At 46.9% G+C, this 14,692-nt stretch overlaps 1 protein-coding gene across 54 annotated transcripts in view, besides 1 other annotated feature; it reads right to left on the bottom strand.

Moving 5' to 3' along the window:
* ARHGEF7 (Rho guanine nucleotide exchange factor 7) overlaps positions 1-14,692 on the bottom strand; it is a 191,116-nt gene that overhangs the window by 103,531 nt on the left and 72,893 nt on the right. For 2 of the 54 annotated variants that reach the window (XM_047430725.1, XM_047430730.1), the window contains exon 1: positions 1,511-12,743. The exons of the other annotated variants lie outside the window; for them this stretch is intronic. In XM_047430725.1, the coding sequence (XP_047286681.1) occupies positions 1,511-1,579 (69 nt within the window). In that variant the 5' untranslated portion in view covers positions 1,580-12,743. Of the gene's footprint in view, positions 1-1,510; positions 12,744-14,692 lie in introns of those variants that run through there. 54 annotated transcript variants of the gene reach the window in all.
* Positions 3,973-4,178: a silencer, noted in NCBI's record as "fragment chr13:111850373-111850578 (GRCh37/hg19 assembly coordinates)". NCBI's record gives its function as "represses an EF-1alpha promoter that drives an FKBP-Casp9 reporter gene in an ReSE screen in K562 erythroleukemia cells {active_cell/tissue: K562}" and the evidence as "EXISTENCE:reporter gene assay evidence [ECO:0000049][PMID:32094911]".

Genomic DNA, 14,692 nt, shown 5'->3' with positions numbered 1-14,692 from the left:
GCACCATGCTGGGGACAAGGGTGGCTGCACAGACACACTTCGCACCATAATACGCTTTAGGATCTATCCATTTGAAAAAGCGTATTTCAAACACTCACCCTTACTTTTACATTTAAGTGAATTAAATGTGCAATAGAATGATCCGATACTCCCAAAATGAAATCATCCTACCAGTTTTCCACCAGAAAACTAACATTAAAATTCCTTAGCTTATTTTTGGTATTTTGCTCTCAATAGAAACTACATAATCAAATACAATACCAAATCAGGGATAAAAGAAGCCCAGAGTATTCAAACAAGGATAGAAAAATACCTTCTTAAAAGTGGCGGGGAGGGGAGTTCCCATGGTCTAACACTGAACCGCACAACACAATGCGGCACGTTGTGGGAAGGACACGGCGGTGCTGGAAGAAGGAAGAGGGCTGAGACTACGGAGCAGAGCCTCCCTGACCACCTGCTTGCTACAGCCCTGCATTGGGCCCCTTAGACCTCAGACTTCTCATCCTCACCAGGGAAAGGGGAACATGCTTGAGGACAGGAAGCAGCAACTGGAATGCCCCACACTTTCAAAAAGAAAAGGGCACACCAAATCTCACTTATCAAAACAGACCTACAGATAACTCCATTCTGCCAAGGAAAACTCTTACTTTTAAAAATGCAAAATAACCACAAGAAAAAGCCCACTGAACAGAGAGAAGAATCATCTACATGACTTACAGGTCAGCCCTCTCATTTAGAGATAAAATGAAGCCCCAAAGTACAATGACTTTCTCAACTCTATTCTCATAGAGTATGTTTACTGGACCTCGTTTCTCTTGCAGTGCTTTCCAGAAATTGCTTCTTAGGAAGCTGAATTGTAGCTGGCACTGTTTAGGAAAATTATCTTGCCCTCTGTGAAATACACAGGCCATATATAAAGCGATTTGGGCATAAAATAGAATGGCTAGAAGGTGCTAAACTATACAAACCATAGAAGAAAATAGTGAGACGCAGAGAAACTATCTGAGGAAGATTTCTGCAATCGTAGGTCGGAGAACCTCAGCCACAGGAACAAGGGGGACGATGGGGATTTGGACAAACACTGGGGAGAGACTGGAAGGAGCCAACAAGCCTGGGGATCAAGTCCTAGGTTCAGAAGACAATGGCATGGAGGACGACCAAGGGCATGGTTTTTTAATTGAAGGCCGAACTTCATTAATATTTAAGACTGAGGGAAATCCCCCCCGAGCCAAAGAAGAAAAAAATGTCTTCAGTATCTCATCCCCATTGTCTTTACCATGTCTTCACTGAACAAGCAGCTTCTGGGCACCTACAAAAGCCAGACATTAAGTCTGTCCACAATTCTGGGCCATGGAAAACAAGACTGCTCTGGATCAAGAGATTCCAGATGCCAGAAGGGGCCCTGCACTGGACCGTTTTGGATAAACCATCTACAAAGTGTACTTGGGAACACCTGGGGAAATGTAAATACAGACTACGTATCAGATGGTGTTGAGACATCAATACTAACCTTGTCATGTATGACAGACATTACAGTTTTGGCTATGTCAGAACATGGCGTTAATTTTGGAAAGGTCATTTTGAAGGATTTAGCTGGCACCTGCAGGGTGGATAAGTCTCCACACAGCTGTGGGTGTCCCGTTCCTCACCTGGGAAGGGAGAGAAGCTGAATCAGCTAACCTCTAAAGTCACTTCCAGTTGTAAAACTCAAGGATTCCTCTGACACAGTGTATTGTCAAAAAAAAAAAAAGACATGATTTCGAGCAAGGAAGCACCAGGGTCAAGAGAGCTGGCTGAACAGAAAACGAGAGAAAGGTGAAGGTGAGTGGTGAGGAATTCAGCAGCTGGCTACAGGACAATAAGAGAAAAAAAAATGAGTTAAGGCAAGTGGGCATTCATTCCTTTGTACCACAACTGCATCTCCCACACTTGGTTCCAGAGAAAGGAGGCTCGGCTTGGAGATGACCGGGAGGAAAATGAAGGATGCAGCAGGGAGGGCACTGGGCTCTCCCCAGAGAGGCCGCAGCCCAAGGCTGGTAAGGACCCCTCCCATCTAGGGGCCGAGAGAGGTGATGTCCACAGACACAGAAAGATGGTAGGGAAAAGTCGCCCTAGGTGTTGAGGAAGAGGAGGAGGAGTCACCGAGTAGTCCACGGCGGCAGAAAGCAAGTACCCGTAACATGAGTCAGAAAGGGCTTCACAGAGTGGGTGACAACTGTATGTGCTCCCAATGGAGGCACAGACTTTGGAGCAGAAAAAAGGAAGAGGGGTGAGCCCATGCAAATGTGGACCTAAGGCCACCATCTGTAACAGGCATATCAGGAGGTCACTGTCTGGTGCCCGTTCCCCACTGCTGTCCAGTCTCTAGGCCCAGGCTGATTGTTCCTGGGCACCCAGCACTCCAACTCCTAACCCCACAGAAGAAACTGAAGCCAAAGATGCTGGAACCAGTCATCAAAGGCTCTACAATCTGGCCCAGACTCAACTTCCAGCCTTAATTTTTGCCATGCCTCCAAAGGAATTCTATTTTAGCATATTCCTCATTTTATGGTTACACCAAAGCAGCCACATTTATTATTAAGTTTACCTCCTGAACTAACACCTGACAAAAGGAGGACTCATTTGGACATGAGGAAGATGGGGCTCGGCTGGTCACCAGCAAGCATCTGGCAGGCTAAGGCCCTTAGGGTAACCTTACAAGTATGCACAGGCAACATCAGGGAGCTTATAGTCACCTGTGCTCCCAAATATGAAAACCTCTGACCAGAGGACGACTACTAGCAGAAATATCCACAGTGGTTTCCAGGACAGCTTCAATCAAAAAGAGTATTATTCTAAAATAAAAAGGCTTCAGCAGACAAAAGTTCTAAGAGCTGATATTGACCCAAACTTAAATTTTCACATTCAGTACACTATGTTCCAACTTCCTCTGCCTCTCTAACCCAGGCTCACTGCAGCAGACAGTATGGCTGCTTTCATTCACTCCCCCTGCCCTTCGAGGAGGAGTCTACATCCAGCCCAGTGATGCCCATCAGCTTCCTACAGGCAGGGGCAGGCCTGGCCACATGACTTTCTCTGACCAATGAGATATTGAGAGGTGAAGCCAGCTGGGCTTCTGGGTCGGGTGGGGACCTGCAGAACTTTTCTGTCTAGCTAAAGGATTGTAAACACACCCATCAGCACTATGTGTCTAGCTAAAGGTTTGTAAACGCACCTATCAGCACTCTGTAAAAACGAACCAATCAGCACTCCGTGTCCAGCTAAAGGTTTGTAAACACACCAATCAGCACTCTGTAAAAATGCACCAATCAGAGCTCTGTGTCTAGCTAAAGGTTTGTAAATGCACCAATCAGCACTCTGTAAAAATGGACCAATCAGCAGGACGTGGGCAGGGCCAAATAAGGGAATAAAAGCTGGCCACCCAAGCCAGCAGCAGCAACCCACTCAGGTCCCCTTCCACACTGTGGAAGCTTTGTTCTTTTGCTCTTCACAATAAATCTTGCTGCTGCTCACTCTTTGGGTCCACACTACCTTTATGAGCTGTAACACTCACCGCAAGGGTCTGCAGCTTCGTTCCTGAAGTCAGCAAGACCACGAACCCACCAGGAGGAACAAAAAACTCCGGACACACCACCTTTAAGAGCTGTAACACCCACTGCGAAGGTCTGTAGCTTCACTCCTGAAGTCAGCGAGACCACAAACCCACCGGAAGGAAGAAACTCTGGACACATCTGAAGGAATGGACACATCTGAAGGAACAAACTCCGGACACACCATCTTTAAGAACTGTAACACTCACCGCGAGTGTCCACGGCTTCATTCTTGAAGTCAGCGAGACCAAGAACCCACCAGAAGGAACCAATTCTGGACACATTTTGGCGACCCAGATGGGACTATCGCCAAGCAGTGAGTATCATCGGACCCCTTTTGCTTGCTATTCTGTCCTATTTTTCCGTAGAATTCGGGGGCTAAATACCAGGCACCTGTCGGCCAGTTAAAAGCAACTAGCACAGCCACCGGACTAAAGACACGCGTGTCAGGCTTTCTGGGAAAGGGCTAACAACCCCCGACTCTTCAGAGTTGGGAGCGGTGGTTTGCCTGGTACCAGCTTCCACTTCTCCTGTACTTCCAGGCTGAGCCAACGGTCAACAGAGAGGAAAGCCATTCAACTCCGGGGTCCCAACAACAAGCTGGTTGACCCTGTGGCCATGAGCGGAACTCTCAAAGTTATGTCGCCCAAGTGAGACTCGCCCATCTATCCTATCCATCCTGACCCTTGCCTCCTGGGTCCTAATGCCTGTCAGACAAACGTCCTCTCACCTCTCTTCTCTGAGGCTAGTCCTGCTTCTAAAAACCACTCCCTGTCTCTAGTTCTTTTCTAGTTTCAGGACTCTGTTCCCTTCTTTAGGCACCCGGGCCCGCCAATCAGAAAGACATAATTTTTGCCCAAAGCCCTGTCATAGGGGGTACTATCTGGAATTTTAGCACCCCTACTCAGACAAGCAGGCCTAACAAAAGCTATTCCTGAAGCTAGGATATGGGGAGCCTCAGAAATTGTATCCTTCCTATTCATATAAGTGAGGACAAAAGGCATCACTCTTCCAACCCTGGAGATCCCTTCTCTCCCTCAGGGTATGGCCCTCCACTTCATTTTGGGGGCATAACATCTTTATAGGACACAAGTAAAGTCCCAATACTAACAGGAGAACGCTTAGGACTCTTAACAGGTTTTCAAGAATGCGTCAGTAAGGGTCATTAAATCTGATTTTTCTCAGTCCTCTTTGTGGTCTAGGAGGACAGGCAAGGTGCAGGTTTTACGAGAATGCGTCGGTAAGGGCCACTAAATCCAACCTTCCTCAGTCCTCCTTGTGGTCTAGGAGGGAAACTAGTGTTTCTGCTGCTGTGTCAGTGAGCGCAACTGTTCCGATCAGCAGGGTCCAGGGTTCTTGGGCAAGAGGTGTTTCTGCTGCTGCGTCGGCGAGCACAACTATTCCCATCAGCAGGGTCCAGGGTTCTTGGGCAAGAGGTGTTTCTGCTGCTGCGTCGGTGAGCGCAACTATTCCGATCAGCAGGGTCCAGGGACCATTATAGGTTCTTGGGCAGGGGGAGAAAAACAAACCAAAACTGCAGGTGGTTTTGTCTTTCAGATGGGAAACACTCAGGCATCAACATGCTCACCCTTGAAATGCATCCTAAGCCATTCGGACCAATTTGACCCAGAAACCCTGAAAAAGAGGCAGCTTATTTTTTTCTGCACTATGGCTTGGCCCCAGTATTCTCTCTCTGATGGGTAAAAATGGCCACCTGAGGGAAGTATAAATTACAATACTATCCTGCAGCTTGACCTTTTCTGTAAGAGGGAAGGCAAATGGATTGAAATACCTTATGTCCAGCTTTCTTTTCATTGAAGGAGAATATGCAAAGCTTGCAATTTATGTCCCACAGGAGGACCTCTCAGCTTACCCCCATATCCTAGCCTCCCTATAGCTCCCCTTCCTATTAATGATAAGCCTCCTCTAATCTCCCCTGCCCAGAAGGAAATAAGCAAAGAAATCTCCAAGGGACCACAAAAACCCCCGGGCTATCGGTTATGTCCCCTTCAAGCTGTAGGGGGAGAGGAATTTGGCCCAAGCTGGGTACATGTCCCCTTCTCCCTCTCTGATTTAAAGCAGATCCAGGCAGACCTGGGGAAGTTTTCAGATGATCCTGATAGATTTCCTACAGGGTCTAGGGCAAACCTTCGATCTCACTTGGAGAGATGTCATGCTATTGTTAGATCAAACCCTAGTCTTTAATGAAAAGAATGCAGCTTTAGCTGCAGCCCGAGAGTTTGGTGATACCTGGTATCTTAGTCAAGTAAATGACAGAATGACAGCCGAAGAAAGGGACAAATTCCCTACCGGTCAGCAAGTCGTCCCCAGTATGGATCCCCACTGGGACTCAACTCAGATCATGGGGACTGGAGTCATAAACATCTGTTGACCTGTGTTCTAGAAGGACTAAGGAGAGTTAGGAAAAAGCCCATTAATTATTCAATGATGTCTAGCATAACTCAGGGAAAGGAAGAAAATCCTTCTGCCTTCCTCGACTGGCTACAGGAGGCCTTAAGAAAATACTCTACCCTGTCACCCGACTCCCTAGAGGGTCAATTGATCCTAAAAGATAAGTTTATTACCCAATCAGCCGCAGATATCAGGAGAAAGCTCCAAAAGCAAGCCCTGGGCCCTGAACAAAATCTGGAGGCATTACTAAACCTGGCAACCTCAGTGTTCTATAATAGGGACCAAGAGGAATAGGCCCAAAAGGAAAAGCGAGATCAGAGAAAGGCAGCAGCCTTAGTCATGGCCCTCAGACAGACAAACCTTGGTGGTTCAGAGAAGACAGAAAATGGAAAAGGCCAATCACCCAGTAGGGCTTGTTATCAGTGTGGTTTACAAGGACACTTTAAAAAAGACTGTCCAACGAGAAGCCACCCCCTCATCCATGTCCGCTATGCCGAGGCAATCACTGGAAGGCGCACTGCCCCAGAGTGCAATGGTTCTCTGGGCCAGAAGCCCCCAACCAGATGATCCAACAACAGGACTGACGGTGCCCAGAGCAAGCGCCAGCTCTTGTCATCACCCTCACTGAGCCCCGTGTACATTTAACCATTGAGGGCCAGGAAATTGACTTCCTCTTGGACACTGGCGAGGCCTTCTCAGTGTTAATCTCCAGTCCTGGACGACTATCCTCAAGGTCTGTTACCATCCGAGGAATCCTGGGGCAGCCTGTAACCAGGTATTTCTCCCACCTCCTCAGTTGTAATTGGAAGACTTTGCTCTTTTCACTTGCCTTTCTTGTTATGCCTGAAAGTCCCACACCCTTATTAGGGAGGGATATATTAGCCAAAGCTGGAGCTATTATCTACACGAATATGGGGAACAAGTTACCCATTTGTTGTCCCCTACTTGAGGAGGGAATCAACCCTGAAGTCTGGGCATTGGAAAGACAATCTGGAAGGGCAAAAAATGCCCACCCAGTCCAAATCAGGCTAAAAGATCCCACCACTTTTCCTTATCAGAGGCAATATCCCTTAAGGCCTGAAGCTCATAAAGTATTACAGGATATTGTTAAACATTTGAAAGCTCAAGGCTTAGTAAGGAAATGCAGCAGTCCCTGCAACACCCCAATTCTAGGGGTACAAAAACCCAATCGTCAGTGGAGACTAGTGCAAGACCTTAGACTCATCAATGAGGCAGTAATTCCTCTATATCCAGTTGTACCCAACCCCTATACCCTGCTCTCTCAAATACCAGAGGAAGCAGAATGATTCACTATTCTGGACCTCAAGGATGCCGCCTTCTGTATTCCCCTGCACTGACTCACAGTTTCTCTTTGCCTTTGAGGATCCCACAGACCACACATCCCAACTTACATGGACAGTCTTGGCCCAAGGGTTTAGGGATAGCCCTCACCTGTTTGGTCAGGCATTGGCCCAAGATCTAGGCCACTTCTCAAGTCCAGGCACTCTGGTCCTTCAGCATGTGGATGATTTACTTTGGGCTACCAGTTCAGAAGCCTCATGTCAGTGGGCTACTCTAGATCTCCTGAACTTTCTAGCTGATCAAGGGAACAAGGCATCTAGGTTGAAGGCCCAGCTTTGCCTATAGCAGGTCAAATATCTAGGCCTAATCTTAGCCAGACGGACCAGGGCCCTCAGAAAGGAATGAGTACGGCCTATACTGGCTTATCCTCACCCTAAGACATTAAAACAGTTGCAGGGGTTCCTTGGAATCACTGGGTTTTGCCAACTATGGACTGCCGGATACAGCGAGATAGCCAGGCCCCTCCATACTCTAATCAAGGAGACCCAGAGGGCAAATATTCATCTAGTAGAATGGGAACCAGGGACAGAAACAGCCTTCAAAACCTTAAAAAGCAGAACCTAGTACAAGCTCCAGATTTAAGCCTTCCCACAGGACAAAACTTCTCTTTATATATCAGAGAGAGAGCAGGAATAGCTCTTGGAGTCCTTACTCAGACTCGTGGGACAACCCCACAACCGGTGGCATACCTAACTAAGGAAATCGATGTAGTAGCAAAAGGCTGGCCTCACTGTTTAAGGGTAGTTGCGGCGGTGGCCGTCTTAGCGTCAGAGGCTATCAAAATAACACAAGGAAAGGATCTCACTGTCTGGACTACTCATGATGTAAATGGCATACTAGGTGCCAAAGGAAGTTTATGGCTATCAGACAACCGCCTACTCAGATACCAGGCACTACTCCTTGAGGGACCAGTGCTTCAAATATGTACATGCGTGGCCCTCAACCCTGCCACTTTTCTCCCAGAGGATGGCGAACCAATCGAGCATGACTGCCAACAAATTATAGTCCAGACTTATGCTGCCCGAGATGATCTCTTGGAAGTCCCCTTAACTAATCCTGACCTTAACCTGTATACCAATGGAAGTTCATTGGTGGACAATGGAATACAAAGGGCAGGTTATGCCATAGTTAGTGATGTAACGACACTTGAAAGTAAGCCTCTTCCCCCAGGGACCAGTGCCCAGTTAGAAGAACTAGTGGCACTTAACCGAGACTTGGAATTGGGAAAGGGAAAAAGAATAAATGTGTATACAGATAGCAAGTACGCTTATCTAATCCTACATGCCCATGCTGCAATATGGAAAGAAAGGGAGTTCCTAACCTCTGAGGGAACCCCCATTAAATACCACAAGGAAATTATGGAGTCATTGCACGCAGTGCAAAAACCCAAGGAGGTGGCAGTCTTACACTGCCAAAGTGTAAGGAGAAAAGGCAGAAGGAAGTGAAGGAGAAAAGGCAGAAGGAAACCGCAGGGCAGATGCTGAGGCCAAAATTGCTGCCAGGAGGAACCTCCCATTAGAAATACCTACGGAAGGACCCTTGGTATGGAACAACCCCCTCCAAGAGATTAAGCCCCAGTATTCCCCAACTGAAACAGAATGGGGACTTTCACGGGGGCATAGTTGTCTCCCCTCGGGGTGGTTAATGACAGAAGGAGGAAAGGTACTTATACCCAAAGCCATCCAGTGGAAAATACTTAAAACCCTCCAACAAACTTTTCATATGGGTATTGAAAACACTCATCAAATGGCCAAATCCCTATTTACAGGGCCAAATCTCCTCCGGACCATCTGACAGGTAGTCAAAGTCTGTGAGGTGTGCCAAAGGAATAATCCCTTGGTCCATCATAAGTCCCCTCTAAGGGAACAAAGAATAGGTCACTAGCCCGGAGAGGACTGGCATTTAGACTTCACCCATATGCCTAAGTCGAAGGGATTTCAATAATTATTGGTGTGTGTTGATACCTCTACAAATTGGATAAAGGCTTTCCCTCGCAAGACAGAGAAGGCTCAGGAAGTGATTAAAGTCCTAATTCATGAAATAATTCCTAGATTTGGGCTTCTCCAAAGCTTACAGAGCGACAATGGTCCAGCTTTTAAAGCCGTGGTAACTCGGTACCCTTCCAGGGCGCTAGGGATACAATATCACCTTCACTGCGCCTGGAGGCCACAATCCTCAGGGAAGGTCGAGAAGGCAAACAAAACACTCAAGAGGCACTAAAGGAAACTAACACAAGAAACTCATCTCCCATAGCCTACTCTTTTGCCCATGGCCTTGTTGAGAATCCAAAATTCTCCTCACAAAATGGGGCTCAGTCCATATGAAATGCTGTATGGACGACCTTTTCTCACAAATGACGTCCTACTTCATCAGGAAACGGCCAACTTCGTCAAAGATATAACTTCTTTGGCAAAATATCAACAAAACCTTAAAATCCTACCTGAAGGATGTCACAGAGAAAAGGGAACAGAGTTGTTTCAACCAGGAGATCTAGTGTTGGTCAAATCTCTCCCCTCTACCTCCCCATCCATGGGCTCTTTGTAGGAAGGACCACACTCGGTAATCCTCTCTACCCCCACTGCAGTTAAGGTGGCAGGAGTGGAATCTTGGATTCACCACACCCGAGTTAAATTTTGGACACCCGCTGAGAAACCTGCAGGACCATCAGCTCAGGAGTCCCAAGATCAGCCAGACCAGCCTTGATACACCTGCGAACCACTGGAGGACTTGCATCTCCTGTTTTGGAAGGAAATATCCCAGACTAAAAAGGCTCCTACCACTGATCCTGAAGAAAAACCCCTTCCTCCTTAAAAAAGATAAGTGAAAACCTACATAATCTTTAACACCTCTCCTTAACCCTTTAATGGAATCCTTTTACTATTTCATCATATGATTAAGCAGCATACTAACCATACTCTTTGTGATAGGGCTATATACTACAGCTCCTGCTAGGACGAAAATCCTAATCTTATCAACCTTCTTTCTATCTTCCTTCCTTCTGACAGCAATTTACTCCTACCTTTAACTCAGCCTGGATAAAATGATCTCGTCTTCCAGAGCACCCTCTTTACCTTCCTATTTACTCTTTGACTATCTATCCCTCCTGCTTCCTTGGATACCTCATACAATCACCCCTCCCCTTCCACTAGCTCCTAAATACCTCTACAAGACTCTCAACCCACTCTCTGTTAAACCAGTCCAATCCTTCCCTCACAAATGACTGTTGGCTTTGTATCTATCAATCTCTGCTTACGTAGCCACTCCCATTCCTGCAAAAACCTGGGTCTCTACCAACTTAACCTATCACCCTCATTATGAAGGAAAAGACCCTTTCCAACTTCTAAATATGCAATCATTAGCCAACTTCCCCATCTCTGATAAGACCAAGAATACCCTAACAGGACGTGCAATCCAACTTTTACGTTCTTACATTTCCAACCTCATCTATTACACAAGCAATGAAAAGCGCATACACGGCCCTGTTACTATGAATACCATCTTAACTTTCCATGTCCCTTTATGCATCCAATGCAACCTGTTATCAGGCCTGCCCCTGGGGCACCTACCACCCCATCAGTGTAATTACACCTCACAACTTCAAGCCCCAACTGATCATAGTAACTTCCAAGTCACCCAAACAGCTCCATGCGGACGGCTTGTCCACTTCTCAGGGCCCCCCAAAATCATCACCTCCTCCCTAAACAGTCCAGGTTTTGTAATGGCAAACATACTCCCTGCATGACCATTCACCCCTGGACCCCCTGCAGCAGCGCCCCCACCACTAGTGAATGCTTTCTCATCCCCTCTTTCAATCACTCTCTCTAATGAATGGTTCCTAGTAGATACAAAACAGTTTTTTCTCCAATGGGAAAACAGAACACAGGGAGCCACTCAGTTTGCTCCCAACACCCCTTTCCAGCCACTCACCAGAGCTACCTTGGCAAGTACTCTAGGAGTATGGGAAAATGAAAACAACAAACTCACACACCTTTTTAACATACACAACCAGTTCTGTCTACCCAGCCAAGATGTATTCTTCTTATGTGGAACATCGACCTATATCTGCCTCCCCACCAACTGGACAGGCACCTGCACCTTAGTCTTTCTAAGTCCCAACATTAACATTGCCTCAGGAAATCAGACTTTATCAGTACCCCTCAAAGCTCAAGTCTGTCATCGCAGAGCCATACAACTAATACCCCTACTTATAGGGTTAAGAATGGCTACTGCTACAGGAACCGGAGTAGCCAGTTTATCTACTTCATTATCCTACTACCACACACTCTCAAAGGATTTCTCAGTTTGCAAGAAATAACGAAATCTATCCTTACTCTACAATCCCAAATAGACTCTTTGGCAGCAGTGACTCTCCAAAACCACCGAGGCCTAGACCTCCTCACTGCTGAGAAAGGAGGACTCTGCACCTTCTTAGGGGAAGAGTGTTGTTTTTACACTAACCAGTCAGGGATAGTACGAGATGCTGCCCGGTGTTTACGGGAAAAGGCTTCTGAAGTCAGACAATGCCTTTCAAACTCTTATACGAACCTCTGGAGTTGGGCAACATGGCTTCTCCCCTTTCTAGGTCCCGTGGCAGCCATCTTGCTATTACTCGCCTTCGGGCCCTGTATTTTTAACCTCCTCAAATGTGTTTCCTCTAGAATCAAGGCTATCAAGCTACAGATGGTCTTACAAATGGAACCCCAAATGAGCTCAACTAACAACTTCTACCAAGGGCCCCTGGACAAACCCACTGGCCCTTTCACTAGCCTAAATAGTTCTCCTCTGGAGGACACTACAACTTCAGGGCCCCTTCTTCATCCCTATCCAGCAGGAAGTAGCTAGAGCGGTCACTGCCCAATTCCCAACAGCAGTTGGAGTCTCCTATTTAGAGGGCGGATTGAGAGGTGAAGCCAGCTGGGCTTCTGGGTCGGGTGGGGACTTGGAGAACTTTTCTGTCTAGCTAAAGGATTGTAAACACACCAATAAGCACTCTGTGTCTAGCTAAAAGTCTGTAAACACACCAATCAGCACTCTGTAAAAATGCATCAATCAGTGCTCTGTGTCCAGCCAAAGGTTTGTAAATGCACCAATCAGCACTCTGTAAAAACGCACCAATCGGCACTCTGTAAAATGGACCAATCAGCAGGATGTGGCCGAGGCCAAATAAGGGAATAAAAGCTGGCCACCCGAGCCAGCAGCGGCAACCCACTTGGGTCCCCTTCCACGCTGTGGAAGCTTTGTTCTTTCGCTCTTCACAATAAATCTTGCTGCTGCTCATTCTTTGGGTCCTCACTACCTTTATAAGCTGTTAACACTCACCACGAGGGTCTGCAGCTTCATTCCTAAAGTCAGCAAGACCACGAACCTACTCTGAGGAAGAATCAACTCCGGATGCGCCACCTTTAAGAGCTGTAACACTCACTGCGAAGGTCTGCGGCTTCACTCCTGAAGTCAGCAAGACCACAAACCCACCGGAAAGAAGAAACTCTGACACATCTGAACATCTGAAGGAACAAACTCCAGACACACCATCTTTAATAACTGTAACACTCGCCGCGAGGGTCTGCGGCTTCATTCTTGAAGTCAGCGAGACCAAGAACCCACCAGAAGGAACCAATTCCGGACAAAATATGACAGAAGAGGCAGACACCAGCTCCAAGCTGAAAGAAAGCACCCTGGTTCTAAGCAGAAGCCTTGGAAGCCTTCAGGTGTTCCAGCCAACCTCCTATCCTTTTTCCTTAAATGAGAATGGCAAGGCTCAAAATGGAGCTGTTCTATCAGCCTGGATGCTGAAGAAAGACACTTGGAGCAGAGCAACACCTTATCTGCAGCTAACACATAACTGACATAATAAACCTTTGGGGGTGCAAAACACTGAAATGTAGGAACTGTTTATTAATACGCCATCATCTAGCAGGAGGTGGTAACATGTCCATATTTCATAATTTCCCCAACAGAACTTATTCCTGAAGGAGAGGAAATGCATCCTGCAAAAACAAAATCAAAACTCATTAAGTGAAGCAGTTAGGTCACCGAAGAGTAACTTTTATCATTTTAACACAACATGATAAAAGTAAGTAGCTCTTAGCTGGCTAAGACACAGAGAATTCTCCATTATTCAAAATAAGGAAGACTTATCAACACAGTATGTATTCCATGGCAAACAAGGTTTTCCCTTTCTTCTCAAATTCTAAACACAGTAATCACATAACTGCTAACGGCTGCTGTTTTACAGAAATCTCCAAGAAAAAAAGACACAAATGCAAGTCGGCCCTGAAGGAGCACATTCTTTCGCAGAAGCCTCTCGGCTGCTGATCCTCTGGGGGATCCAGCACCGTGTAGGAGGAAGGCAGGCAGGGAAAGGATGGATAGCAGTGGACTCTGACAGACATGCACTTGGCTCCACCCTTCACCTCCAGGCACAGATGCTGCTCATCCATTTCTACAGGCAACTCACTCTAAAACTCAGTGGCCCAAACAACAAGCATCTGTTATCTCAGTTTCTGCGTGTCAGCGTTCAGGGCAGCTTAGCTGGGTGAATGTGGCTCTGGGTCTCAGGGGAGGTCGTTGAGATGTCAGCTGAAGCTGTGGGATTCTGGCAGCCTAAGGCCTTGCAGGGACTGAGGAGGTGCTACCAAGACAGCTCCACAGCGTGGCTGTGAGCAGGAGGCCTCAGTTCCTGAGTCCTCAGAGAACGGACAACGGACTCCACAGAGCGAGTGATCCCAGGGCACACGCAGGAAGGAAAGCAGGGCCTGCAGCTTCAGGAATCCTATGAGCTAGCCTCAGCAGTCAGGCAGGCTGTGCTCGGTTCATAAGAAATGAGTCATCAGCCCCACCTGTACTCAAGGAAAAGAGAACAAGGCTCCAACTACAGAAGGGATGAGCATCCAAAAACGGGAAGACATTGCTTGAAAATCACCAGCAGATCCACCCACTCTCAGAGTGCTAGGTTTTTCTCTTCCAGCTGAGTGACCACACCTTCACACTGGATGTCAGATGTCACAGCCACTCTGCCTAGCGGACAAAAGTTGACAAAGAAACGGGTCACAGAAGGACACTCCAATGTTTGGGATTCGAAAGGCTCCCCTACTGATACCCCGATATTAGTGACTTTGCCTCACCCCACTTCCAAATTCATAGGAAGTGTAGAAATTCAGGAATATCTTCCACAGAATAAAAACAGCAAAGCAAACTACATCACAAAATAGATCGTGTGATATGTCTAATATATAACACAATGTACATTATGAAAATACTTCATATAATAAAGATCCTGTGTCAGAACCTTTCCACTACAAGCAAGTAAACCCAACTCAAATTGGCTT

Source organism: Homo sapiens, chromosome 13 (assembly GCF_000001405.40).
Source record: "Homo sapiens chromosome 13, GRCh38.p14 Primary Assembly".
Lineage (NCBI taxonomy): Eukaryota > Metazoa > Chordata > Mammalia > Primates > Hominidae > Homo > Homo sapiens.
The sequence above is the reverse complement of the archived record's forward strand: the minus strand, read 5'-3'. Positions and strand labels throughout refer to the sequence as shown.